This window comes from Homo sapiens, chromosome 2 (assembly GCF_000001405.40).
Source record: "Homo sapiens chromosome 2, GRCh38.p14 Primary Assembly".
In the NCBI taxonomy this organism is placed as follows: Eukaryota; Metazoa; Chordata; class Mammalia; order Primates; family Hominidae; genus Homo; species Homo sapiens.
The window spans coordinates 154,434,112-154,461,259 of NC_000002.12; the positions used below are offsets into that span (position 1 = coordinate 154,434,112).

Genomic DNA, 27,148 nt, shown 5'->3' on the forward strand with positions numbered 1-27,148 from the left:
TTGATCTTGGACTTCCAGCCTCCAAACCTGTCAGGAAATAAATTTCTGTTGCTTAGGCCACCCAGTCCATAGTACTTTGTTATGACAGCCCTAGTGAACTAATACAACAGTAAACAATAAAAACTGAGTTATTACAGTGATTAGTTTGTTGGTTTGTTTGTTTTTTTTAGAGGAGTCTCGCTCTGTAGCCCAGGCTGGAGTGCAGTGGTGTGATCTCCGCTCACTGCAAATTCCGCCTCCCGGGCTCACGCCATTCTCCTGCCTCAGCCTCCAGAGTAGCTGGAACTACAGGCGCCCACCACCACACCCTGCTAATTTTTTGTATTTTTAGTAGAGACGGGGTTTCACCGTGTTAGCCAGGATGGTCTCAATCTCCTGACCTCGTGATCCATGCGCCTGGGCCTCCCAAACTGCTGGGATTAAGGCATAATAATCAACAAGGTCCATAAAATGGAGCATAGACATCATCACCTGTATCATTATCACCGTCTTATAAGATAGCTGAGATTAAAAGAGTTGACTCAAAAATGGCCATTTTAGTGGTTGTTTGTAGACCTAGCTTGACTGAAGGACTACATGAGAATATATGTGATACTAGATAGCTCATAATTTTACAGTTGAGACAACATGAACATTAAGTGTGAAACAGAATTTTAAAAACACTATAAATTACTAAATCCATAGGATTCATACAAAGAGCTCTACATGTTACATTTTGCAGTACTGTAAGTTGGTATACATTCATAGAAATATAAATGTAATTGCACAATAGAAGAATAGAGCAAATTTATTTAATGTAATATATACGAAGCATAGAACACATTTTTTAAAAAAGGTAGTGTTCAATTAATGTTAACTTTCTCCCTGTTTCCTCTTTTATAATGGAAGGAAAGGCACAGAAATTGATTGTTTTTCCCTGCTTCTAGTCAGCTTAATCAAAGTGATTAGACTTTGAACCAATTAATTGTCATTAAAGTCAGGCTGCCACTGGAACAAATGGAAACATATGCTAAATCTATGGTTCATGTAACACAGTTCTGCTTTACTAACTATTGGTAACCGATGATAAAGCAATTTGAGAGATAATTAGAAAAGGAAGAAGAATAGTTTCCATTATTTTAAGAGAATGTACAATGAGATTTTATTAATGAATGAATCAATCTTGTATCGTGTAGTTATCAGTATATGTGATAGTTTAAGGTAAAGTGCTTCATTGGTGTGCAGGTTAGAAATATTTTAACTCACATAGTCAGGCATAAAGGTTTCAACCACAGCAAGGACAGGCTGGGCCTTACACATACTAACTGAGAGTGTCTGTGGAGTAGTGAGATGGAAAAACAAGCAACAGCTATAGGGAATAGCTGCTTCCTAGGAAATACAGCATGAGATTTGGAGATTGTCCCCAAAGTCATAAAGGAACTCATAAGTAGTTAATCTAGAGGGTCATAATACAATGCTGAAATTATCAGAAACATCTGTCATCAGGTATTATAAACTCTCTCTCGGGACTTGTGTAGTGGCCAAGGGTCAGCACAGACAGGCAAGAGCAAACATTGCTGGACCCTTATACTAAAATTTCTTGGCAGTATTGGGAAGAAATCCTCAATTTGGGATTAACTCCAAGACTGGGAATAATAACTCTAAATATCAGCTACTGAATTTTGTCTGTGTGCTAGAATCTCTGCAAAGTATTTCACATATAATGTTTTCAGTATACCCAAAGTGAATTCCATGAACCTTTCACAGTAGTAAACATGAAAAAAATTTTAATAATGACAATTATGGGTTAAAAAGCTAATGGATATAAATGATAAATAATTGAGATCAAACCTAATAATTTCCAGATAAAATCAAGAAGGATATGTATATACTGACATGCACTGACTTTTTTATTATTATGAAGAGTAAAAGACATCCTAGAAACAAGCATACAAACGAGATTATTTCCCAGGTACACAAAGCAAATTAATCCTGATTTTACATTAATCCAAGAAAAATAAGGAAGCATTATCTACAGATTGTTTTTAACATTGCTTGTGAGCCAAATATTTTAACATCTGTTAATTTTTTTTCAAGTACAAAGGCCAAAAAAAATTTAGCAGACATATAATTTATATACACATATAAGTGCAGAAACTGTTCTACAGATATATCTTTCTTAAATGTACGTTACTTATAACTGTAACAACCACAAATGAATCTAAATTAGAAATTGAGGATCAAGGGATATATGGTAGACTGCTCTCTGAAAGGTTCAACAGGTACTGTTTCCAAACTATCTTAAGACACTGGAGAAGAATACACTGTATAAAAACGGCCTGAGCCATTAGAAAATTAAGGCTGAAATGGATGTTATGATGTTTCCTTTTACACTGGCATTTGTACACTTTAAAAGGAAGCAATTCTAATGTCGAAGACTATCCTTCAGTATTGAAATAATCCTATAATGAACAAAAGAAATTTCTCTAGAAATTTTCTTCTCTCAGCTTAAGATTCTCACTTGTGTAATTAAATAAGTTTGTAATTGTGTTTAAGATAATACGGTTTGGGGAGGATATGAATATTTCTGTTTGATGGGTTTTTATTTTATTCTTCTTAGGTGACCATATGTTCTTCATAAAAAACATATGAACATGAAAAAGTAAAGAACCTAGAAAATTTATTTGTGAATTGAATATATGAAGTCTGTGTTATATTTTACATAATTCAATTAAATGTACTTCACATTTCTCAAATTTGTATATTATTGAGAAAATGTATAACCTTTGTGAAGAATTTTCTGGGTTTTGTTGTTGTTGTTGTTGTTGTTTTGAGACTGGGTCTTGCTCTGTCACCCAGACTGAGTGCAGTGGTGTGATCATGGCTCAAGCAATCTGCCAACCTCAGCCTCTCCCACTCAGCCTCCCAAGTAGTGGGGACAACAGGCGTGTACCACCATGCTTGGATAATTTTCTTTTTATTATCGTTTGTAGAGCTGACATCTCTGTATGTTTCCCTGGCTGGTCTCAAACTCCTGGGCTCAAGCAATCCTCTCGCCTTAGCCTCCCAAAGTGTTGGGATTACAGGCGTGAGCCACCGAACCACCGACCCAGCCCCCCATAATTTCCTTTTAAGCGGTTGGCAGAAGAGGGTATTTGTGTTCTGTCATTGATTTTGCCGCTTCCTCTCACCACTTCTTGTGGTTTTCATAGAAGTTCTGAGTAGCAATGCTGCAGAGGCAACTCTTCCAAGACTAACTCGTTCAGCTTACGGAGCTCCAGAGTTTATGTTATTTGTAAAGCTGACTTCCTCAGATTTCATCAGATATCTTTGAGAAACAAAAAGACCCTGACATGACCTTTCTCATTATGTATTCTGTTGACATTGCAAGGAGAAAGAAAAACCCACAGAATACTGAACAATGCTTATCGTAGTTAAAAGAAGAAAACACATTCTATAATTATGTGCTTAATAACCCTCATGAGGCTGGGCATGGCGGCTCACACCTGTAATCCCAGCACTTTGGGAGGCCGAGGCAGGTGGATCATGAGGTCGGGAGATTGAGACCATCCTGGCCAACATAGTGAAACCCCGTCTCTACTAAAATACAAAACATTAGGCCGGCATGGTGGCGCATGCCTGTAGTCCCAGCCACTCGGGAGGCTGAGGCAGGAGAATCGCTTGAATCCGGGAGGCGGAGGTTGCAGTAAGCCCAGATTACGCCAGTGCACTCCAGCCTGACGACAGAGCAAGACTCCATCTAAAAAAAAAAAAAAAAAAACCCTCATGAAACCTTAATAATCAATGTTGTAAATAAATTATTCACACCAGGAACAAAATAATAAAGATTATTATAGTTCAATTGAATTATCTAACAAAGAGTCCATAATCCACCGTGACATTTCTTGGATATTTTCAGAAGAATTGATGTAGTTAAGCTTAGGCAAACCATATTAGAGAGATAAGTGTAGAGCCTACCTTTAATAAGATCTCTAGAGAAGATACTTCTACAACCTTCAGAAGCTCACTGACAGTATTTAATAAAACTTACACGATGTACTTATGTTATCAGAAGAAAGATTTAAACTTCTATATGAAAAAATGACATTGTAGAATTGGAGAACTGGTCATACAATAGTAGGAACAGGGACTGCCTTCACTGAGCTCCATGCAGTTTGTAAACTTTATTTTACTTAACCTATTGAGAGCTTTATAATGCAAGTATCATGAAAGAACTACAGTGCCAGCAAATAATGGGTATTTAAAGGTTTGTTTTGTTAAACTGAGGCCTCACCAAAACATCATAAAACAGATGACTTTGTCCCTATTTTGCAGTTGAGGAAAAAGACTCAAAGAGATGAATTAGCTTTCTCAAGATAACATACCAGCAATCGTTTGAAAACACAAGTTTATCTGATACGAAAGCTTCCCTGGATAGATCTGCTCTATTGTGACATTTTAAAACATACATTTTTTTTATTAGCTGAATTTATATTTTCAGGTATTTTCTTACACTGCTGACAAAGAAATCCGAACCGATGACTTGTGCTTGGATGTTTCTAGACTCAATGGACCTGTAATCATGTTAAAATGCCACCATATGAGAGGAAATCAGTTATGGGAATATGATGCTGAGGTATAGTATTTTCTTAATTTACTTATTATTTGATGCTTAAGCTCAGTTATATATTTCAACATTCAACATTTAAATCTTAAGCTGGTTTTTATCTACATTGGCAGAATTAGATTTTCAAGCATGCAGGCTCATATCCGGTAATATTAGGATGGCATATCATATAAACAGGTTTCACCAAATTGGTCCATTAATATAAAATATGAATGAGGACAATAAAATCAGTTTTGTGTATGACAACTTGTTATCTCCATGTACATGCCAAACATAAATTAGGCAAGAGGTAAGCTAAGCCTATCTGAGAGGTTTGTATGAAGATGTGCATACAGGATAATATTGACAATATGTCCATATTTTCAAATTTTAAATTTTACAATACTAATCACTGACATTTATGTTCCTCAACTGGAAGGAACAATATCTGACAAGATTAACAAGATTTCTTTACTGTTTACAGTTGTAAATATTTTGCAGAATTCAGTAAACTAATTAGTCACATAAAAAGTTGAGTAGCCTCTTCTCAATATAGCACACCTTTCTGACAGAGAAGAGGGAGAGAAAACCACAAAATTACTGTTGGAAATTTATCTCCAGGCAGTGTGTAAAAACCAGATCAGCCATCAGATGGAGCTAATAAAAAAGAAATATTTTCCTTTGCATAACGAAGCTTACTCTTGAAAACAGCTTCATTTCTTTCAGTTTTCTTTTTTGATTAACAAAATGAATTGGTTGTCTGTGTTACATTTCCCACATTATTAAGTGGTAGGTGATTTATTTAAAAGGAAAACTAAACTTCGTTCTGCTTAAAAGATAAATACTACTATAGAGGTAAATGAGTCTCACAGATGCAGTATTCCATGCAAGCCTAAAATTTTCTACAAGAATAACATTTTAAAAACCAATCTACAGAGTTTTTGGTATTGTTGATATTTTAGCAAGACCTTTTAAAAACCTTTTTGAATGTCGTTTTAATATTTGCATGAGTCTGTAGTTTCTTAAGTTGAATACTAGAAAAATTTACTGAATTCTCATAGGATTTGAAACTGGTTGTGCAGGGTTAATTTTGGGCCTAACACTCATACAGTGTTACCAGGATCTTAGGACACAAAATCATCTTCTGGGCCATAATTGAGGGCAAACACTGAGAATTCTTCCTATGTTGTACCAGTGTGATTAAGATGCTACTGCCTTCGCTATATCTTACTCACCTTGTCTGACCACCAATTTTTTTCTCTTCAACTATTATTTATTGGTACCATCCTTGATATTAAGCCTACAGAAAACAGTGCCTTTGCAAAATACATGTAGGTAAATCCTTCATCAGTACTCTCTTCTATGAGGAAAAGTGCAGTAAAATGTACAGATATAGTAGAAATCCTGTAAGTGATATTTGTTTTTAAATAAAACTTGTTCTTCTTGTTGTTACTGTTCCGTTTCTACCAGGAACCTGGGGCTCTACTGAGCTTATGCTAAAAATAAGAAAATCTAGAATATATTTATTAAGAAAGGGGAATGATCGTGTACATTTTTATAAAAGCAAGCAGTGTGGAATTTTAGAATACCACTTTTAATCTTTAAACTTTTCCATAACTCTTGAGTGAACAATGTCATAACTCAAATTCTTTCATTTCTCAAATAACTACTGTTAGCAATTTGGTGTATATTTTGGTTTACATTTTCTGTCAGCTAGTAGCAATGCTATTGAATACTAAGGAATTTTAAGTAAAAAGTGAAAAAAAAAATAGGTAGCTTCACATAGGTAGATAAATAAATGATTTCTATAAATTTACTCTTTTGGATGACTAGTAGTTATCTGTTGCAGTATTTCAGAGCACTATAATATTTTGTGTCATGTTTACTTTGACTTTGGAACACACGCACAAAAAGCTTATAAAATGTCATAAATATTGAGAAATTTTTATTTTAAATAATTTGATCATCTGAATTATATAGCTTAATTAAATTCTCTTATATGTTTATGTTTTCAAAATTAACTAGTGATGTTTACATTGTCTAATGACAGCACTTTGCCAAATTAAAAAATGCATAGGTCATAATCTAATAAATGACATGAGAATAGAGCAATTGTAGGAATAATACATTGCCTTTCTGGAAATTTCAGCTTTGATGTGCGATTATATTTTTGAGAAGGTCGTTAAAAAGGATTTTTTTTAAACAAAATTGAAATATAACATTTATTACTATGCTTTTCAGTTTTACATTTAGGGTTTCTTTAGTTCACAGAATGGTTCCACCCCTTGCTACCCACAGGGTGATTCCAGGAGTAGTAGCATCACCTGGGAACTTGTTAGAAATGCAGGATCCGAACCCATGCTAAACACACTGAATCCAAGTTTGTATTTTAACAAAATCTCCGATCATTCATATACATATTTACATTTGAAAAGGACAGGGTCAAATATCTATGTATCTTCCATAGTCTTTTTATACACTGGTTAAAGAATGTTACAAATTTAGGAAAAGGCATGAATACAATTTGGAAAATGGCAAGGCCTCCAGAGGGGAGCAGAGAGAGGGAAAGGGAGCAAAAGGATAAGAGGTGTTGAGATGAGAAAGAGGAATAATTGCTCAGTGGTTCTATTCTTCTCATATTCCAACCTGTGGAAAGTAAATGCGCACTGCTTACTACTTTAACTCAATTCTTTATCTTTTGCTGGCAAGGACAAAATTATTCTTTGAAAAATCTCTGAGGTGGTGCAGGTTCAAGGCAGAATAAAAATTGTTGGAGTTCATAGAATTACAGAACTGAAATGTACCTTAAAGTTCTCTCCTTTAAGCCTTTATCAGGAGGAACTAAAGCATAAAGATTACACCGCTAGCAGCAGAGCTAGGATTCAGGTCCTAATAAAGTATTCCAAGCAAGCTAGCTATCAGTACAATTGTGAATCTCACCATGTGAACAGCACAAATATTCCATCACCTTATCTCCCATAGTCCTTTCAATCTTAGAAAAGAAAGTCATAAATAGAAGCAAGATTGTTGGAATATCCAGAGAAAAATGGAAACAGTGTCATGAAGCCTCAAAAGATGGAATCTATCCAGCTACTTTGGTTTTGTTTACTTCTTAGGTGAGTGGGGGAAAAGAGAAGGAATACAGTTCAACACGTATTTATCTGTTTTCTCATGCAATTCTTACAATAGTCTTATAAGACAGTTATTCTATTTTTCACATTAGTAAAATGAAGCATAGGGTAAATGCCTCGTTTAAGTTTGCACAGCCAGATTCTGGCAGTAAATCCAGCAATTTTTCTACTACACTACATTGCCTCTTGATGTTGTCGAAAAACTGGAAATAATTAGATTCTCTTTCAGTGGTTAAGATATAATAAGCTAAATATACAGTATTTCAAATGGAATAGCTAAATGCTATCAGTTATTTGTTATGCCAAATTTTGAACTAAAATTTCTCATTTTTTTAATAGGGGGAAAGGTGTTCTACAATAAATATGGTCCATTTAGCTAAATAAGCAGTCATAAAACTACTTTGTCATTTTGCTCTAATTGCTTACAAACTTCAGCTATACATATTCATAATATAATATCTAATTGCTTATCCTTGTAATTGAATGAAACTAAGCACATGTTAGTAATAAATGCACTTCTTTGGTCAACTTTGATTTCAAGTGTAGTTTCTCACACCCCTAACTAAATAGTCCTTAAATAACCACGAATTCAATTCACTGTCATCTTATATGTGGCCTAACCTGTTTGAATTGAGGGCATCCTGGGCATCATTAGCAAAATTGTGGGGTACCTACGTGGTCTGGAAGCTTAAATAAATTGCACAAACCCTTCTGTGCCATGAAATGCCTATTGCCAGGATTAAATGAAGAGAAAAAAATTCATCTCACTGAGACATTTTAAAAATTATTTTTATAAAGTTCTGTCATCCATTAATTCTATTGTTTTCAGGTGTTCTTATATTCTGTTTGAACATTATAATTATGTTCCAATCAATTTAGAATATTTCCCTATGATATGTGCACATAATTACATTTCTTTTTGAATAACTAGGCAGCTACATACAGTGTGAGAATCTAATTTTAGATCAGAACACTTATGTTCAACAAACACTATGCAACAAAGAAAAAAAGGGAGAAAAATATGATACTAAAAATAACTTATTTTTCATGTGACTGAGCAAGTTGACTTAGAAAATACTTGTTGTGAATTCTATATACATCTGTATCAAATAATTTCCAGAGTCACAATATAAGGAATTTTTTTCCATAGGTGAAATGTGTTAGATTAATATTTAGACTTTACTTACACTACCATCTTTTATTTACCTTTATTAGAGAGCAGGTAAATGGGATTATAATTTCAAGGTAAGTGATCTTTAAGTGCATCCCAGCCATTCCCCTGTGTAGCATTCCTAAGAAAAACAATGGCTCAATTTACCTTTTGAAGGTTGTGTGCATTACACAGTTATTACCTTTCCATATTCCTATTGACCCATAGCTGTGATTTCTTATTAGAAGTAGTGAGTAGGAATTTCAATAGATTAGCGTCATATTTGTAGTTCCTATATGTTAAATGATTACACTTCATATTTTATAATATTTCTGTTCGACTGAATGCGTAGATTACCTTGTCTGGAGATCATAATTAATGTTTTGAGTAACAACTTTGTTATATTAATTTTTAATTGTTATTCTATGCTTGATTAACAGAAGAACTCCTATTATCTTTGCTATTAAATTAAATATAGTACAAATTTATACTTATTTTGTATATGATTATATGTAATAACATAATTGATTGGGTTTTATTTTAATCTTTTACTATACCAACTTTTAAACTGAGACCTGTGCGATTGGCTCTTAAATCAACTATGCAGTCAGTTCATTAAAATATCTATTTTTTTAAATTAGTATGTTTTAATACCAAGGTATGGCCTAATTTTACAATATTAATGGCTCTTATTTTGTCACCAAAATTGTTTAGCCTGATTCCAGTTGGCTTTAAGTAGGAATTATATATTTGGAAGGGTAAAGTTAGAGATACTCCACGCTACATTTTATGTTAGTCAAACTTGCAAATATATTTAAAGGCATGAATCGTTAATATTTTTCTTATGTATTTTTACATGTTACGATTAAAATATTCTACATTGCAGGCAATACCAAGGCTTTGCATTCTAGAGGAGAACAATAAAGTAATACTATATTATAAACAAAACTCAATACTATCTTAGGGTTTAGATGATCCTATTTTTAGTCAATATTTTAAATAAAGCTATAGGAAAATATATTTGGCAGTAAGTTGCATGTCAGCCTGGATGTCACATTGTCTTCAAAGTTGAGTTAATATAGCTGGATGTAGTGGCATGGGCCTGTAGTACCAGCTACTTGGCAAGCTGAGATGGGAGGATTGCTAGAGCCCAAGAGTTCAAGGCCAGCCTGGGCAATATAGTGAGACCCTTTCTCTAAAACAAAACAAAAGTAGACTAATTAGGCATTTGCAACAAAAACAGATATAACTAAGGGTTGATATACCTAATAAAGAGCATATCAACCCTTAATTACTATACTTTTTGAAAGGGAAATAGTATACCACATATAGAAATGTGCAAGGACTTGAATAAACAGCATAGTAGAAATGTAGCCAAAGAAAATGAAAAAAAGTTTTTAAAAAACATAAATAAAAATCATTTTATGTGTGTTACTGTATTCATTTCTTGCTTATCCTTTCAATACAGCAAGAAATGTTTTTAGCAGCAACATGTAATATTGGTGAAGATGCAGTGAGACTGACACCCATAAAGTATCCTGGCAGATAGCAAGCACAAGAAGTGTTAGCTGCTGCTGCTATTATTACAAAATTACTGTTATAGATATATTTTAAAGGACTTTGCTGATATGTGTTAAAGTGTTCATGTATTTGACCTTGCAATTTCACTTCTAAGAATCATTTCCAAAGAAATAATGACAGATGTAGACATTGATGTTCAGAGATATTTGCCATGTGTTATTAATAATGACAAATATCTCTGAATATCAATATATTGATCAAATATCTCTGAAATACAATATATTTTTGTTATTTGCAATAGCTCCAAATTGGAAAGATATTCCCTGCAAATAAAAAAGTTAAATGGATTTTGGAAATTCATTTTAGAGAAATAGTTTATTTCTTAATAGTATGTTTGTAGATTATTTTAGTGATAGAAAAAATGCCCACAACATGAATAAAAGAATATTTTATTATATGACCTCAATTGTATAAATACATAAAATTATTAGAACATACATACAATATTAATAATTGTTATCTTTTCAAACAGTATACTGAGAAAAAAATGAACTATGCTTTGTTTTCAAGCAAATGAAGACACTAAATAATTTTGTGTGTTTTTAAATGAAAAATAATTTTTGTCTCAATAAGGACAAGATTTGTAATTTTTCTTCTGGGCTATGGCTTTTTAGAAGTACCTGGAATGAAACTTCTTTGACTATTTTTTCATGGCCATTCATTTGATAAACACCTTTGGGACATATGTTACAGTCATTTTTTTAATGAAAATTCTATATTGTATTTATGCCCTGGGGTCATGTTTCCAGAGGATAAGCAAAATCATTTTGTTTTTGTTTTATGTCATAAAAATAATTTTTCTTCTATATTACAAACATAATTAACATCATTTACACTAATATCTTTGTTGTTAAAGTGGCATTTTCCAAGAAAAGTTCACTTCAAGGAGAAATATCACTGAGAGTAGAGGATGATCTAGCCTAGCAGTTTTGAACAGTATGGGTGGAAAATTCATGTTTGGTTTAAAAACAAAAATATAAACTAGTCTTCTTAAAAAATCAAGCTATATAGTTAACAATATTATTTATAGTTACAGTTTTAATATTAACTACATAGTTAATATTATGAATACAATGTTATTTTTTCTTTCTTTACAAATTATGTACTATTTTACTGTGGAAGATAAATCCTTGAAAACATAAATCCAATAATTTGTGTTCATTAAGCTGCCTGAGAGAAGTAGCTTAATTTTAACAGGATTTATTGTCTGCACTGGTCTTTCACTAAGTGTTTGAATCAACAGACTTACTTAGTGTCTCCCAAGGGCAGGCACGGAGCTTCAAGATGTAGGTGGCCATAGTCTGTGGCTTTCCTGGAGCTTATGTTCCTATGGAGGAAATAGATGGAGAGCAAGAAACAGACAGATAAATTAATTAATTAAAATTGTTTGGAGAATTAGATTAAGAGTTAATCTTTTTCTTTTTCCTCCCTTCATTATCTACCTTTCTAATTGACATCTAACAAAGGTGGCAATGTACATGTGGAACACAACCCAGGTTAGCCTTGTAAAAACATAAGTGGGAGCAATTTGAGTACCATACTGTTCAAAGTAAAGCCTTAAAGCTAAATTATCCTCTGAATTTGTCCCTGATATTTATTTAATTTTAGGGTGAAAGAATGAGGAGGCCAAGGGCCATAGCTGGACTAATCAACTATTTTGAATATCCACTCGCAAATAACTCATCTGGTACTAAAAAGCATTGTATTACTAGGATGAAGGCTGAGAATATAATCTTTTATATCTAAAATAACCTTTTGCCAAAAATATTTCATTATTTTATCGTAAGCCCCTCTCCATATTCTCAGTCTTATCTTCATTTACTCCTTCCTTATAGGGTTGATATTAAAGCCATCTAAAAAAATGTGGCTCACAGCTCCATGGATACAATTATTGTGACATGTGCCTTCCATCTTTATCCAGTAGAAATTGCATGTTGCCTAGGATGATTGATTTATTACTGTCTTTGTACTTGATTTTGTCATTATTCGTTATTTTCTTTGTCAAACAGACCCACACTCTTCTTCATATAATCACCCAGTCTTGTCTCTCAGTGAACAAAGTAGCTGATGGCTCCCAGCATCCTACTGTGGAAACCTGTAATGATAGCACTTTGCAAAAATGGCTACTAAGAAACTATACAAGAATGGAAATTTTTAGAAATATTTTTGGGAATTCTACTGATTACATTCTCTAATGATTTTTGGAGGTTTGTGTTGCAGATTTTATTAAATTTATTTTAGCATTTTTGTTATGTTCAGTTATTGAAATCTGGAAACTCCTTTAAAATGTGGTTAAGAAAAATTTGTATGACCTTTTCTCCATGGAGTTAACTCTCTGTCTTTTACTTCCTAGCTACTCATTAATTTGGGGACTGCATATATTAAGTTGTGTTTAGTCTATCCTTAATGAGTAGGGGTTTTTTTGTTTTTTTTCTTTATTTTAAACATATATATGCATAAATATACTTGATGAACGATATTATGAAATATTAACTCTCTTTGAGGCAAACTATAGCCATGTCTATATGACAACAGGTTCTGCGTCATCAGATCTGAAAAAAATCGATTAAAAAACTAACAGGGCCAAAGAAAGTATTGTTTCTAAGACACTGGAATCATTTATTTTTGTTTCTTTTTATTCAGATACTTTGGTTAAATGCAAATATGGCATATCCTTTCTAAAGTATCTTATTATTTTAATTAAAACACTAAGCAAACACATTATTAAAGACTAAGATGTGATTTTTAATACCTTTATAAAGAAAATTATTTCTAAGCATTTCTTTGTGGTTGCCTAAGTGAAACAATATTTTTTTAAGTTGTATCTTTTATCTCTCACTTTTACGATTTGTGACTATCTTTTCAGCAAGCAATAAAATGAATCATTACACAGGTCAAGTCAACAAACTGATATGGAATTCTTGTAAAGAGTGCAAATAAGAACATGTCCTAGCTTTTAGTTTTAAAGAGTGTATTATCCAATAATTAAAGGATTTTACTTTGTCCCAGACCTTACAATGAGAACACAAGGAAGATTGGGGCATTTTTCTGGTTCAGATGAACCACTTAAAGATTGTTAGTGGAGGAAACAATTGAGCTTAGAAGTCTTGGAACAAGGCTAGAAATGAAATTATGGATGAGGGGACAACATATGGGGTACTATTTTACTTAGAACTATATTCAAGCCAAAGACATTCCAAATGTAAGAGTTGGTAAAGCTGGAAAAGTCTAGGTCTTTTGCACAAAGAGAACTTATGTACAGAGCAATTTATGTGTATTATCTTAGTTTGCTTTCAGAGCAACCAATCCTGATACGTGCAGTGCCAAAAAAGGAAGCTTAGGCTTAACTAAATATTTATTCTCACAAGTCTACTGTAGAGTGCTAGAGCAGAGACCACAGAGTGCTTCTCTCCATAGGAGAAATTGGAGCAGTTCCCTTAGCAGTTCTTACAGCCTTCTTTACAGGTAACAGTCTGTTGCAAGGAGATGAGATCCACATCAGGCAGATGTCAAAACCATCCTGGCTTATTAGCCTTATCCTCACAGAAGATGATGTTTCCTTGTAACAACTCCATAGGCCTAGCTTCCAGGAACCAAATAAAACATTTAGAATTACAAGTCTGCATTTAGAAAAGCCCGAAGTTTGCTTTTCTGTTAGTATATATATGCAATTTATCAGTTGCAGATGCAGTTTATCAATCAGAGTTCACTTTTACCATAAACAATGTAGCCTAGAAACATAGTTAACATTTTTACCCTTTCAAGGTTGCCAGGGGATTACAGTTAGATAGTTGACTGAAGGTCAAATTTTTTAAACAAAAGGGAAAAACTGTATTTGTAAGCATGTTTAAGTCTAAGTATTTTCTGACAAAGAACATGATTCCTCAGAATAATTTGAAACATGCCTGAGTGTTCACAGCCAGTAAGTAAAGGACAGGAATTTACCTGAGTCTAAAAGGTCTGGTTTTCCACTGCACTACATTATAAAGGAGAAGTATTTAGTTGTTTGTCTCTGCAGCAGTGGGTTTTGACTATTAGTGAATTCCTTCAAATAAATCATATATTGTTTAGAAAGAACAATAATAACTAGTGTTTTTAAAATTATTATTTGTGCAGTTGACAACATCTATTCAACATGTTCCTTAAAGAAAAATCTCCCTAAGTCTGTGCTATATTTTGAACTAAGGTAACTGATAATTGATCAAAGCATTCAACTACTATGATATGTGATCAATTGCAATAAGACACTGGGAGTGCTTTCCGGGGTAGCTTAATGGGCAATGACATATTTGATATATGAAAAATCATACTTTTTTTAAAAAGGGATCTAATAGAAGTATGCAATGGTAAGTGATATTTTTGAAAGAGAATATATACATAAAAGACCACAGGTACGTAACAAAAATGAAACAATTTTGTTGATTTTTAACTAGAACTGTCTAGAAAAAATACATATTGTTTTTGTTATGCATCTTTATTTTTTCAAGCTGGCTACTGGTTGAATTTCTGGCATAATAAGCATAAATCAGCCATCTTCTTGCCTATCTTTGGCCATTTATTCCTTTCTTTGTTTTTTAGTGTAAATAGCTTGATTCCATGTTTTGAAAGAGCAACAACAAAGGTCTCAATCTTGAAATCTCCTTTGTATCTAATTGCCTTGCTCTTTTAATTTCCTGCTTGCTGCCTCTTAGGCCTCTTCCGCCACAAACCTATTCTCCATTCCATCATTTCTTACAACAGTGCAGTCCACGATGTTTTCAGTCCTAATCTAAGCAAACTACAATCGTCTGGCTGCTGTTCCTCTACCATTTTTATGGCCCACCCCTTACATTTACTTTCATCCCATTTTCAATGTAGTATCATGAGCCAAAAAAAAAAAAAAAAAAAAAAAAATTTCTTTGCCTTTAATTTTGGTAATTTGCAAAAAAAAAAGTATCTAGAGTGCTATTTTCAAGATATATTTGCAAATCATCTCTCATACATTCAAATACTTCGCTTCTGGTTGGAGAGGTTTTCATATAATATGATCCTAGGTATTGCCCATGAAATAGCAGAAATATATATAATTAGTATGTATAAATCATGTTGATTTAAAATGTATATCTGAAAAGTCCAAAAATGTGATTTCCAATGTACGTAAAAATGCCAAAGAGAAGATATATAATGACTGGTTAACATACAATTATTGGAATTTATGAAGAAACTAAAATATAAATATAATGTTTAAAAATATGTGATCATCATGCCCCTGTTTTTATGTTATATTTTTAAGATTCTTAAAAATACAGACCAAACTATTGTAAGGATTTTATCAAGTAAGACAGATTATTTTTTGCTCTGATAATCACTTTCTACAATGAGTGTCTTACAGTCACAGATACTATAGCTTGTTTAGTATTTTGAAATGGGAACATCTCTAGCAGTTTTGTTCATTTGGGTCACAGCTGTGCCATCTATTTGCATGTTTACCAAATGGTTACTGAATAACACATGCCTAAGAAAACTAAGCTTTTGCAAAAGCTTGTTAATATTTGCAGTCCTCAACTGAACTCGGAGCTCACAAATGGGCTTTTTGCAAAGGAGCCTGAATTCTTGGCAATGCTTGATAAATGTCAGTCAGTTTCTTTAGCCATCTGCAAATAAAGGTATATTAGACAATGATGACTTCATAACAGTCAAAGATGTATAATAATTAATCCAGGGACACCTGTGCACAGTTCCTTTTACAAAGCTATCACAGTGTATTATACTATAAAAATCATAAAGGATTTTTTAAAGAACAGATTTTATCTGATGTGCTAGCAAAGCTAAAGACGAAATAAGCTGCACTGATTATTGGTTATCTTTTACAGAGACTCACGTTGCGACATGTTAACAGTAACCAATGTCTCGATGAACCTTCTGAAGAAGACAAAATGGTGCCTACAATGCAGGACTGTAGTGGAAGCAGATCCCAACAGTGGCTGCTAAGGAACATGACCTTGGGCACATGAAGATCATGTCCTCCAAGCCATGAAAGTGTCTACGCTTTTGTTTTTCCATTATTTCAATTGGGGGAAAATATTAACTTTGCTGAATTGAAAGTTTTAAAAATCCTTTTAGTATTCTAAAACACAATTGTTTCTAATTCGTTTCTAGAAATGTTTGCTTATTTCCCTACTAAAATTTGTATCTGATCAAAGCACATAAGAATATAAATAATAGCAAACTACTATTAAACAACAGAACAACTTGTAAAACAAATTGTGTTTGCTTTAAGAAAAATGTTTATTGCACTCATGTCATAGGGTTAATTGGAGGTTATTTTATTTTTGGTTGTCATGGTGATTGAAAGAGATAATGTAAATGCCTTATAAAATCTTCATTATGAAATATTATCAGTTGCTTTATAAACTCACTCTTTTTATGGATCCTTCATGGAAACATGTTTGATTTCTGTGTCTACAACAGGGCCACATATTAAATTACTTCTGAATGGTGAATTCATCTTACAAAATGTTCCAAGTTTTGGACAAGGAAAAACATTACATTGGATATTGAATTCATGGAGCCTTTACAGAAGCATCACATTTAAACCAATGTGAATTCAAAAAAGAGAAGGAAACTTTTTAAATTCAATTTAGAGTACATAAAAAAAGAAATCCGCGAAGCATTGAGGGGAACAAGATGAGTCTAATCCGCAGCACTTCGATCACTGTGAGAGAACTCAAAGTGGGTTGCAATCATTCCTAACACAGGCTGAAACTAAACAATCTTGCTCCTAGAGTTTATGTTGGATACTCAATTCTTAACCAAAATCTTGGTCTCCACAAACTCTACCATCCCTTTTCTCTTCACTCTATAGACAGTGGCATGCCATTGATGCTGTACAGAATTGCAGGTGAAAGGGAGAATTTTAGACTTAATTTTTAACTCTATTGCACTTAAAGATTTTAGTTAGGTTACCACTGTCATTTTCATTTTCTATGTTAAAGAATACCTTTCAGTGCTGTGCTCCAGTATCTAAAAATTTTATCACCAGGGGAATAAACTCAATACACATTCATTAAACTTTTGTTGTAATTAAACTGCTATATATTGTTTGCCATATATTATGGCCCAAGGAATATAGTTATAATCAGGCTACATTCACATTTTCTTTTCTCATCTTAAAACCCTTTATGTTCAAAATACATTAGCAGAGGCCATGAAAGTGAAAAAAAATCAGATTTTTGCTAGTAAGTTTTTATATTTGACATCATTTTAAATGCTCAAAGAGTTGCCCTATATATGCATGTTATCCATTATAAATGCACTCAGCAGCTAAGAGAAATTTGAGAGGAAAAGTGGAAGAAGTGTTTTCTGGAGCAGAAGATTCCACTTCTTTGGTCCTCATCTTTACTTAAAAAGCTCTTATAGAAAGGATTAATCATTTTGACTGCATACAAACTATGTCTCTGACATGCACATACACTGCTTTATAATGAAAATGAGGACACTTTCTGATGGTCAGTAAAATCTTAAATGATTTTTGCCACTGGTATTCCTTCCTCTTTTGACTTTTTATTGGTACAACTGTAGGGAAGAATCTACAACCTGGAGCATTTCAGGTTTGCTCTTTAAATATAGACACCCCTCACCATGAGCTCTCTGTGAATCCGTGAATTTCCTAAAATTGTAAGCAAAATGTTGAATATCAGGGCATTTTTTTTTCTGAGGTGGGAGTATGTCACTCACAGCAAACTTGGAAAGAAGGCTATGACTCCCAAGAGGCAGTGAACCATTGCCTTAAATTAATAGCAGCCTCTCAAGTCCATTGAGGCCTCATGTAAAATTCCCATTTTTCATCTTTACACTCCTTTTCTCCCCTCATTTCCTCTTCTCCTTACTAAGGTAAAAAGACCCTGCACAGCATTATTACTTAAGTTGAAAAAGCTTCAACTCTCAAGGACTCATGTATACCATATGTTCCACTTATTGCTTTGTTAGTCAAAATGCATGTTATGTAGAAAATGGTCAATGGCAAATTTTTATAAATACAGCTACCCCATCAAAGCTGAACTTGAAACGTTTTAGCAGAATTTTAAATATGTGAAAGTTCATTGTGGTCATGGTGAGAAAACTAAAACTACATGAGTTTCATGTTAGAAAAGAATTTTTAAACAATCTTCAGATGGCTTGAACACGTGCCATTATAGTATCTAACAAAAAGTGGCATAAAATATTACAAAACATCCAACACTAGAAAGCAATGACTAACATTTAATTTGTTTACAAAAATGTTTATTGTCTTCAGTACAAAAAGTTAAAACCATGATTGGATTCATAATGCACTTGTCTTATCCCTTATTTATGGAGCTAGACTGACATATTTCAAACCAATCTCTTCTGTGGTCTTCTCCATCTCAGTTAATGCAACTTCAACCTTCCAGATGCTCAGGTCAAAAACTGAAAGTTGCTTTTGACTCCTCTATTTCTGTTTCAACTCTCGTCTAATCCAACAGCAAATCCCCTTGATGCTACCTTTGAAATATAACTAGAAAAGAATGACTTGCCACCATATCCACTAGGTGTCACTACCTCTAACCTTTTTAATCGCAATATGCTTATTATTTAGTTCCCTAATTTCCCAGTCCTTGTCTTGAACAATCTTTTCTCAGTACAACAGCCATAGTGATTCTGTTAACCATGAATTTGATTGTGTCACTTCCCTGCTCACAATCTTCCAATGACTTCTCCCTCCGGTGGCCTTCAAGGTCCTTTATGAGTGTTACCCCTCTACACGTCCACACCACTCACCACACATACATACACATGCACACACACACACATGCAATTCTACCTTTTTCTAACACCATCTCTTATCTCTCATTATTCTGCCTCTTACTTACCCTATTATGGCTCCCAAGAAAGTTCCTGCTTTAGTGTTTTGTTCCCTCTGCCCCAGAGAGCTCCCCTTAGTGATCTCAGTTCAAATATTATCTTATCAGTAAGACAAACCCTTCTCCCATCTGCCTTCCCTATCCCCTGTACCTGACAATCTATGAGTTTGCTTCTTTATTTCTGTCTATACTTCCCCCTCCCCAGCCCCAAACATGCCCATCACATGCCCTAGAAGGTAAGTCCCATGAAGGCAGGGGCTTTGTCAGTTTTGTTCATTTGGTATTTCTGGCATATATATTCTCTAAATATTTCTTGAATTAATGAACTGAAAAATGTGTGTTAAAGTTGCTAAGTGTAACTGTATCATACTTTTTTTGTATTTTAAATTTTAAAATAAAGGCTAATATATTTAGACAGGATTTCCAAAAACTTTGTCTTCAAATTTTAATTTTCTTCCTAATATTCTTCACATTAAACTATGGACTCTAATTTTCTGGATAAAATATCCTGCCTTATGGAAATGAAATATGAAATTTTATTAAAATGCTGCTATATTACATAAGTTGCTTCATTAAGCTAAAAATGGTTTTTATTTTTTGGTTGTGTCCAATGGCCACTTGAAGGTATAAGATTTTGACTTTCAGAGGAGAGATATCACTGTCTTAAAAATTATGTATTTTCATGATTTCTTAAGAACTATTACTAAATTTATCTTCTAAGTGCAGTCAATGGAATAAACACAGAGATTTTTAAAGGACTTTACAGATGACCTTGTCTTAGTTTCTCTGTTTATAGATAATAAGACTGAAACCCAGATATGTAATATAACTTTTCTAAGGATCATATATCTAAAGTGGTGTTGCCTGGACCCCTTATTGTTAATATAAACTAATACTGTCACTCAAAAAATTATAGAAATGGAACAATAATGGAAAAATATCTTCATTAAACATGTTATGGGGCCAGGCATGGTGGCTCACGCCTGTAATCCCAGCACTTTGGGAGGCTGAGGTGGGCGAATCACTTGAGTTCAGAACTGCGAGACCAGCCTGGCCAACATGACGAAACCCTGTCTCTACTAAAAATACAAAAATTAGCTGGATGTGGTGGCACGCACCTGTAATTCCAACTACTTGGGAGGCTGATGTGAGAGAATTGCTTGAACCTGGGAGGCAGAGGCTGCAGTGAGCCAGGATCACACCACTGCACTTCAGCCTCAAGACTGTCTCAAAAAAAAAAATTATGATTAGTATATTGATTCTTTAGAAATATTTAAATTCTTACTAGTCATTTAAATAAAATTAGTTCTTTAAAATAATACAAGCACTAAGACCTACAGCAGAAATAAACTAGAAACAGCATGATTACAGGAACATCCAAGCATCATTTGGCAAACTGGGTTTCAGGGAAGCAAAGCCTTTTCAGTAGTAACTAATGGAACATACTCACTTTCATTTTCCTTCTAATTATCTTCAGGTTAAAAGTAAGGTTTGGCCTACAGCTTGCACAGAGAATTAGACCACCTATTACTGTGAAGATTAGGTTCTATGTTATGGAGCTTCAAAGACTGCAGGGAAATCAGCAGAGATTTCTAGGCTTCCCAGTGGAGCTCTGTAAACTCTGGTAAACACAATCCATAAATTTGATTTTGCCATGGTGCTTAGAAACAGTCTAATAAAAAGGAAAAAAGTGTACAGAGAGAGAAAAATAACTACACTAAAACAGAACTGTTTTTACCTTTTTAAAAAATTTGGTGGGAGGTTAGGATCATATTCTGAATTAGTTCGGTAAACCTCAAAATACTGTCTCCCACCGCACATGGTTTCACCACTTAAGAAATGATGATCGTATCTGCTCACAACCATTTTACTTGCATCTCATTTACAGATGCTAAATCTAGTCTCAGAGGAGGCAAAACATGTATGCATTCTTAAGTTATAAAGTGTACTGATTTCACAAATATGAAGAATTTTAGAAATTCAAATTTTTAATGGATGTGTCACCATCTACAGCTGTCATCCTGCATGGCTGATATCTGCTGCAAATCTTGAATAAATTTCCAGTTCAGTTGGGCAGCAAAAACTCAATTAGCTCTAAAGGCAGCTTGTGTTTCAGGATTCCGCCACTGCCCATTTTCCCCAATATGTCAAAATATGGAATAGGTGAAATCAGCCCCTTATGTATAGTACATGGACACATCTGTTGTGACTACACCATGTTCGAACTGCTACTAAATATCAGCTATTGTATGAATTTATGGTGTTGAATGAGCACCAGCAATGTGTTTTAAATAATTTGTGTATATGTGTAGCCCAGTTTGTTTTATATTGGTCAATAAATTCTAAAGACAATTTTCACTGTATTTGTTTTAAAAGAAAAATCCCTCTGAAATACTGGTGAATTCAGGCAGCTCTTTTCTTAAGGATCCTTTAAGATAAAGACCACTTCTGCGATACTTGTGTTATGTTATATAAAGTTATTTTGTTTTTGTTTTTAGCTAGGGAGAACAAATCACTCAATATTCTGTTTTTAATGAGTTAGAATGAGAATGGAAAATTAGATGATTAAGGCTATATCTATAATGTTTTTTAAAAATGAGATTTTCATCATGCATTCCATTGGTGTGAAAACGAAAGTAAGCTGCTGCTTGGTTCCAGTTGTGCTGAAATTTCTGCTAAAAATAGCACAAGGGGGAAAAAAGAACTTGATGATTACATGTCTTTTTTTGTTTTTTTTTTTTTGTATTTCAGCTTTTTTTGTTTTGTTTTGTTTTGTTGTTGTTGTTGTTGTTGTTTTGGTCAGTGTAGCCACAGCTAGAAAGGAGTAATTTCAAAAATGTTTTAGATATATGCTTGGCACATGGTTCTTTAACATTTATAAAAGTAGATTGTGCATAATGACAGATTTTAAATACTGTAAGCATTATTAGATGATATAATTGTTCTTTTGCTGTAAATTTAAATATTCATACATTTTTGTAGAGTTAAAATATGCCAATTTAGTTTTCCTTTGGTATATATTGCCTTTTTGGAAAATAAATGGTTAACATTTCAAATAGATAAACAACGTCACTATTTTATGCTTAACCTCCATGTTTGTGGATTATTTAAATAAATGATTAAGTGCCTATGAATATCTCCTTGCACCAAGAAAATGTTGTGTTCCCAGTACAATTTTGTTATCAAAATATATAAAATAGAAACACTAAAATATGCATGATTTTAAAGCATTTATTTTTATTTATTTTTGATTCTGAAATGATTTGAGGTGGATTTTTTTTCTTTCTGTTTTATAAAAATGACTAAAAATAGAAAAATTTAAAAGTCTCACATCAATGATAAAAATTATTTTTCAGAATATAGACCATACCCAATACCTGGCTTCTGAGACTGGAATCCTAAGACAGTGTGTCAGGGTGAGAGAAGATGGAGAGAAGCTGCCCACTCCACAGCACAGCGCAGGATCAACTCTTCAGTCTTAACCACTAAGATAATCAAAAAGAGCATTTAATTTTCTAAGGTGGAGAAAGGAAGGAAGGGGAGGAAGAGGGAAGCAAGAATAAAGAAGAAGGAAAGGAAAGGAAAGGGAAGGGGAGGGGAGGGAAGGGAAGAGAGAAAGACGATGCTAATAATCTGTTTTCATAATTTTATTCTGAAGAGACTCATCTGAAAGTTCCTGTTCAGAAGTCCATTGATTTGCAAACATGAACACCTCGCTAGTTTTCCGCAACTTATAACTGTCAGCAAGTGTAAAGGACATTTCTAGATTTTGTCCCTTCTTGGCTTTCTGTAAACCAAGTGTGACTCCAGATACCCAACTCTGTTACTCTCTTTTCGGTTACTCTTGTCCACGCACAGCATACATTTCCAGCAGTAACCAGGTACTCAAGTATAACCTAATAAAGCAACCCCACCCACTTCAGGCTTTGATAGATCCATAACTTACCCTGTCTTGCTTTTCTTCAGCACCTGGTAGAAACAGAATGTGAGCTCTCATGCTCAGAACTGTGCTTTCGTCTTCCTCCTCAGCCAAGGAGACTCTTAGGTAGGCTTTCTGTTGACTCACTCATTTTCTGACATCATGAATTTTTTCCCCCGCAGGACAGAGGATATTAATCACCAATCTCTGCTTCCACTGTGGGAAAGAGGTGGTAGGTAGCCCACTGAAATTCTTTTGACAGAAGTCTCTTCACCAATTTTTTGAAGTGAAAAACTAGGTAAACATGCAAACATCTAAAACAGATTTTACAGTTTTCTCTGCAACACAAAACACCTGAACTTACTGCAGCAAGCACTCTATCTCCTACATGATAATATATATAAGGTGGAGGCTGTGAAATCAACATTGTCTAAACAATTGAGGTCAGAATTTAAAACACCCTTCCTTAAGACTAATGGGACCTGTGTTCTCAGCCCTGAGCCTGCAGCTTGCTTTCCCTATGTACCTGTGAAACGTTTTGGCTTTTAAACAACGACATGAAGTTAAGTTGCATATATAAAAGCACTTCAAATTTCTTCCTTTATTTATATGGACCAAAGGGGTGGAGAATCCATTTTTTCCCACATAGTTAGCTTTTTAAAACTCTAGTTTCCATTAGTGGATTTAGAATCATTTGCCTCAGCAGCTCACCAACTCCTCCTTTGGATATTCTTTCTTCATTTTTTGGTTTTCCTTCCACCTCATTGGCCATTGATTTCCAGTTTCCTTTGCTAAGCTTTCCCTTCTTTCTCCCATGTCTTAATATTGGAGTGCCTCGAGGTGCAGTCCTTGGCCTTCTCAATTTGCATTGACTCTTTGGTGATCTCATCCAGAAGCACATATTTCAATGTCTCCGATGCTGATGACTCCCAAATATCTCTATCCAGTTCAAAAACTGCCTACTTGACATCTACACTTGGATAACTAATAGACACCTGAAACTTGGTTTGTCCAAAACTTAACTTTTTGCCTTCTCCTACAAATCTGTTCAACCCAGAGATTTCCATCTCAGTTGATGGCAACTCCATTTTGCCAGCTGCTCAGGCCTAAAATCTTGGTATCCTTGAAATCTCTCTCTCCATTAGAAAATCTCCTTAATTCCACCTTCACAGTGTTTGCTGAATCTGACCACTTCTTAACACCTCAACTACTCCCATTCTGGTCTGTACCACCAACTAAATGATAGCCGGAGTCTCCTGACTGGTTTCCAAGTTGCTTCCACCCTTGCCTCCTCCATAGTCTGTTCTCAGAGAGAGCCTTAAATTTATATAAAAAAATTGTTTAAAAGAGAACCAGAATAATGATATAAAATGTAACTCAGATATGTCTCTCTTCTGCTCAAAACTATCCAGTGGCTTCCTGTTTTGCATAAAGTAAAAGGCTATGTCCTTATAAAAGCCAACAACACTGCATGCTGATCTGGCCCCTGTTAACTCTCTGACCTCCTCCCATACAATGTTTCCCCTTATTCACTTCATCCCAAGCACTGTGTCCATGCCTGAACAAGCCAGGCATGTCTTTGGTTTAGGGCCTCTACCTGGAATACTTGTTCCTAGATGTCTACATGGGAACTCATTAGCCTTGATCACAACTAAATTCTCTATGAGATCCCCCATCTACTCTTTGTAATACTGTAGTCTAATTTACTTAGTTATCACTTTTAATGCTTAGTTGTTTATTGCTTCTCTCTCTCTACCCCTCACCCCTACCAAGCACCCTCACCCCTTGAATAAAAGGTACTGCAAAACAGGAATCTTAATTTCATTGTGATATACTGCAAGTATCTAGAATAATACCTGGCACGTTCTAGGCACCCAATACATATGTGTTGAGTATCAAGTGAATTTCCATCTTTCCTTTCTATTGGTGCATTGTATTCCATGCAAGGGACTTGGGAGTTGGTGGGAAAAGGGTTGGAGGCAGAGAGAGAACTTTAACATTTTTCTTGTTCTTCTTTATATTGATACAGTTTAACCTCCACTACACTTTTTAATGTCCTCCTACTAATAGGGTTATGTCATTTATCTCCATTGCAAAACTATTAATTTTTAAGGTAATGGATGCATTTGGAACTTGAGACAATTCCATAATCATACAACTATTAGGCTAATTCTATTTGATATGACCCAGATGAGCATTTTTTTCTCTAATGGAAGGATGGTTTGGGGGCATAGAATAATGGAATGTTAGCATGACAAGGCAGCTGGAGATGTCATTATAAAAAACTAAAAAAGTTGCAGTAGATTATTTGTACAAATTTATTGTGATGTCTTTCTAAGGCTTATTTCTGAAAACTACATACTTAGACATTCCTAAGGATACATATGTTTAAAGGAAATGTGTAGTATAAATTTATAGATTCCAAGTTAAAATAAAATACTGAAAATTACATCCTCCCTCCTGTGCCTTTTATTAGGGTCACCATTTGTGTGCACAAGTTTCTGGAGATAGGTATGGAGATGGGCTTCTCTCTCTGATGTTTGTCAAAATCTTAGGTGGTGTTAGCTCTACACTAAATATGACATTCTCTTATCTTCCATCTACTATGGACAGATCCAGGAGGTGCTAACTATCCTACCACAATTGGCAAGAGGTGGGAGTACAGGTTCTTTTTAACTGCATTGCAGGACCAGACTCTGAAGACAGCTGCTTAGATCTAACAGCGATTTCTTTCAGTAACAATCAAGTAGGAGAAGAGCCACATTTGCTTAGGTAACTGCTCAGTTCAGTTTTCTTTAACTTGAAATAGAATCTGACCTTTTTATCCTATAGGTAGTATAGTAGGAAGAGTATGGATTTTGAAGCCAGGTAACTAAAGTTGTCATCCCACATGGGCCACCTACCATCTAAGCTGACAGTTGTACTTGTCCATATCAACACCAGTGCCCACCTCAGGCCCACCTTGAAGGGCTTTTGTGAGGGTTAGCAATGATTCAGGTAAAGTGCCTCTTGCAGCAAATGTTAGCTACGTAAGTTTACTTCAGTCTTCTATGCTCATTGTAATTCTTCCATGTAGAAGACTAACTGACACAAAAGCTGCTTTTAATGAATAAGAAATATCCGGGCATTTTGTTTTTCTTTTCCCTCATTTTCCCATCATGTATAGAAATTGGCTTCTGTTTTGCATCATAAGCAGACTAAACACCCTGTGTTTTGTCCCTCTAGGCCTGCAAGTCAGTGGAGGAGGACTTAAACTACAGCACCCTGCAGCAGACACATTTTGGAACTTCAGCTATTTATGTAAGAAGCTCTTGAAATCAGCTTTTCTGAAAAGTGGCACCTTAGATTTACAGAAGTAAGCCCAGAATGCAAACGGTTTTAACCATTCTTCAGTAGCTACCATACTGACATCCAAAACTCTGTTTATGATAAGCTATGTTGATCCTTAAAGCTGTGCTTTATAGATAAATATTTTGAAAGGATTTCCAATGCTGTTTGACTTATTGCTGCTTTGTTTTTCAAAAGATGCAAGTAGCAGCAGAACTCAAATTAATGTACATGTGCCAGTACATGAGTCATTACGTAACTTACTTTTGACTTTAAGAGCTGAAGTTGCCCATGGCATTGAACTAATTGATATTTTTATCCTTAATTATTCTCAAAGACTCAAAATAGAACCATTTATTTTTCCCATAATAGTTTATTAGCATATTTTCTTTTTTTTTTAAATGTTTAATCTATTTAGAGAGAAAATCGCCAAGTCAGAAACAGTTGCCAACAGATGAATAGTACATCTTAGGTAAAGTTCATGCTTTCAAAACTCTTATTGGGTTCGAGTAAAACTCTGGATTCTCTTTTTTATTTTTATTTATTTATTTATTTTAGCTTATATTTAAAGTTCAGGGGTACTTGTGCAGGTTT

General features: G+C 34.2%; 1 protein-coding gene and 1 long non-coding RNA gene across 20 annotated transcripts in view, besides 2 other annotated features; one reads left to right on the top strand and one right to left on the bottom strand.

Moving 5' to 3' along the window:
• Positions 1–22,463, top strand: part of GALNT13 (polypeptide N-acetylgalactosaminyltransferase 13) — a 1,388,282-nt gene extending 1,365,819 nt beyond the window's left edge. For 7 of the 19 annotated variants that reach the window (NM_001376402.1, NM_001376401.1, NM_001376400.1 and 4 more), the window contains 2 exons: positions 4,481–4,615; positions 16,300–20,066. In NM_001376402.1, coding sequence (NP_001363331.1) covers positions 4,481–4,615; positions 16,300–16,440 — 276 coding nt within the window. In that variant the 3' untranslated portion in view covers positions 16,441–20,066. Of the gene's footprint in view, positions 1–4,480; positions 4,616–12,456; positions 12,655–16,299 lie in introns of those variants that run through there. The other 12 variants (NM_001422882.1, NM_001422883.1, NM_001422881.1 and 9 more) reach the window with 6 other exon arrangements.
• On the bottom strand, positions 1,742–23,327 carry GALNT13-AS1 (GALNT13 antisense RNA 1). Its single transcript, NR_161181.1, has 5 exons — positions 23,255–23,327; positions 22,686–22,793; positions 20,427–20,531; positions 11,697–11,774; positions 1,742–3,739 (listed from the first exon to the last, which is right to left on the bottom strand). It is a non-coding gene; the product is annotated as a GALNT13 antisense RNA 1 (long non-coding RNA).
• Positions 15,905–16,049: an enhancer, noted in NCBI's record as "145 bp enhancer 37 fragment used in the MPRA reporter construct; PK_construct_550". NCBI's record gives its function as "activates an SV40 promoter by MPRA in HepG2 cells {active_cell/tissue: HepG2}" and the evidence as "EXISTENCE:reporter gene assay evidence [ECO:0000049][PMID:23512712]".
• Positions 15,970–15,983: a transcriptional cis regulatory region, noted in NCBI's record as "HNF1 motif; enhancer activity is reduced when this motif is scrambled". NCBI's record gives its function as "necessary for full MPRA enhancer 37 activity {active_cell/tissue: HepG2}" and the evidence as "EXISTENCE:site-directed mutagenesis evidence [ECO:0005528][PMID:23512712]".
• Positions 23,328–27,148: the final 3,821 nt, after the last annotated feature.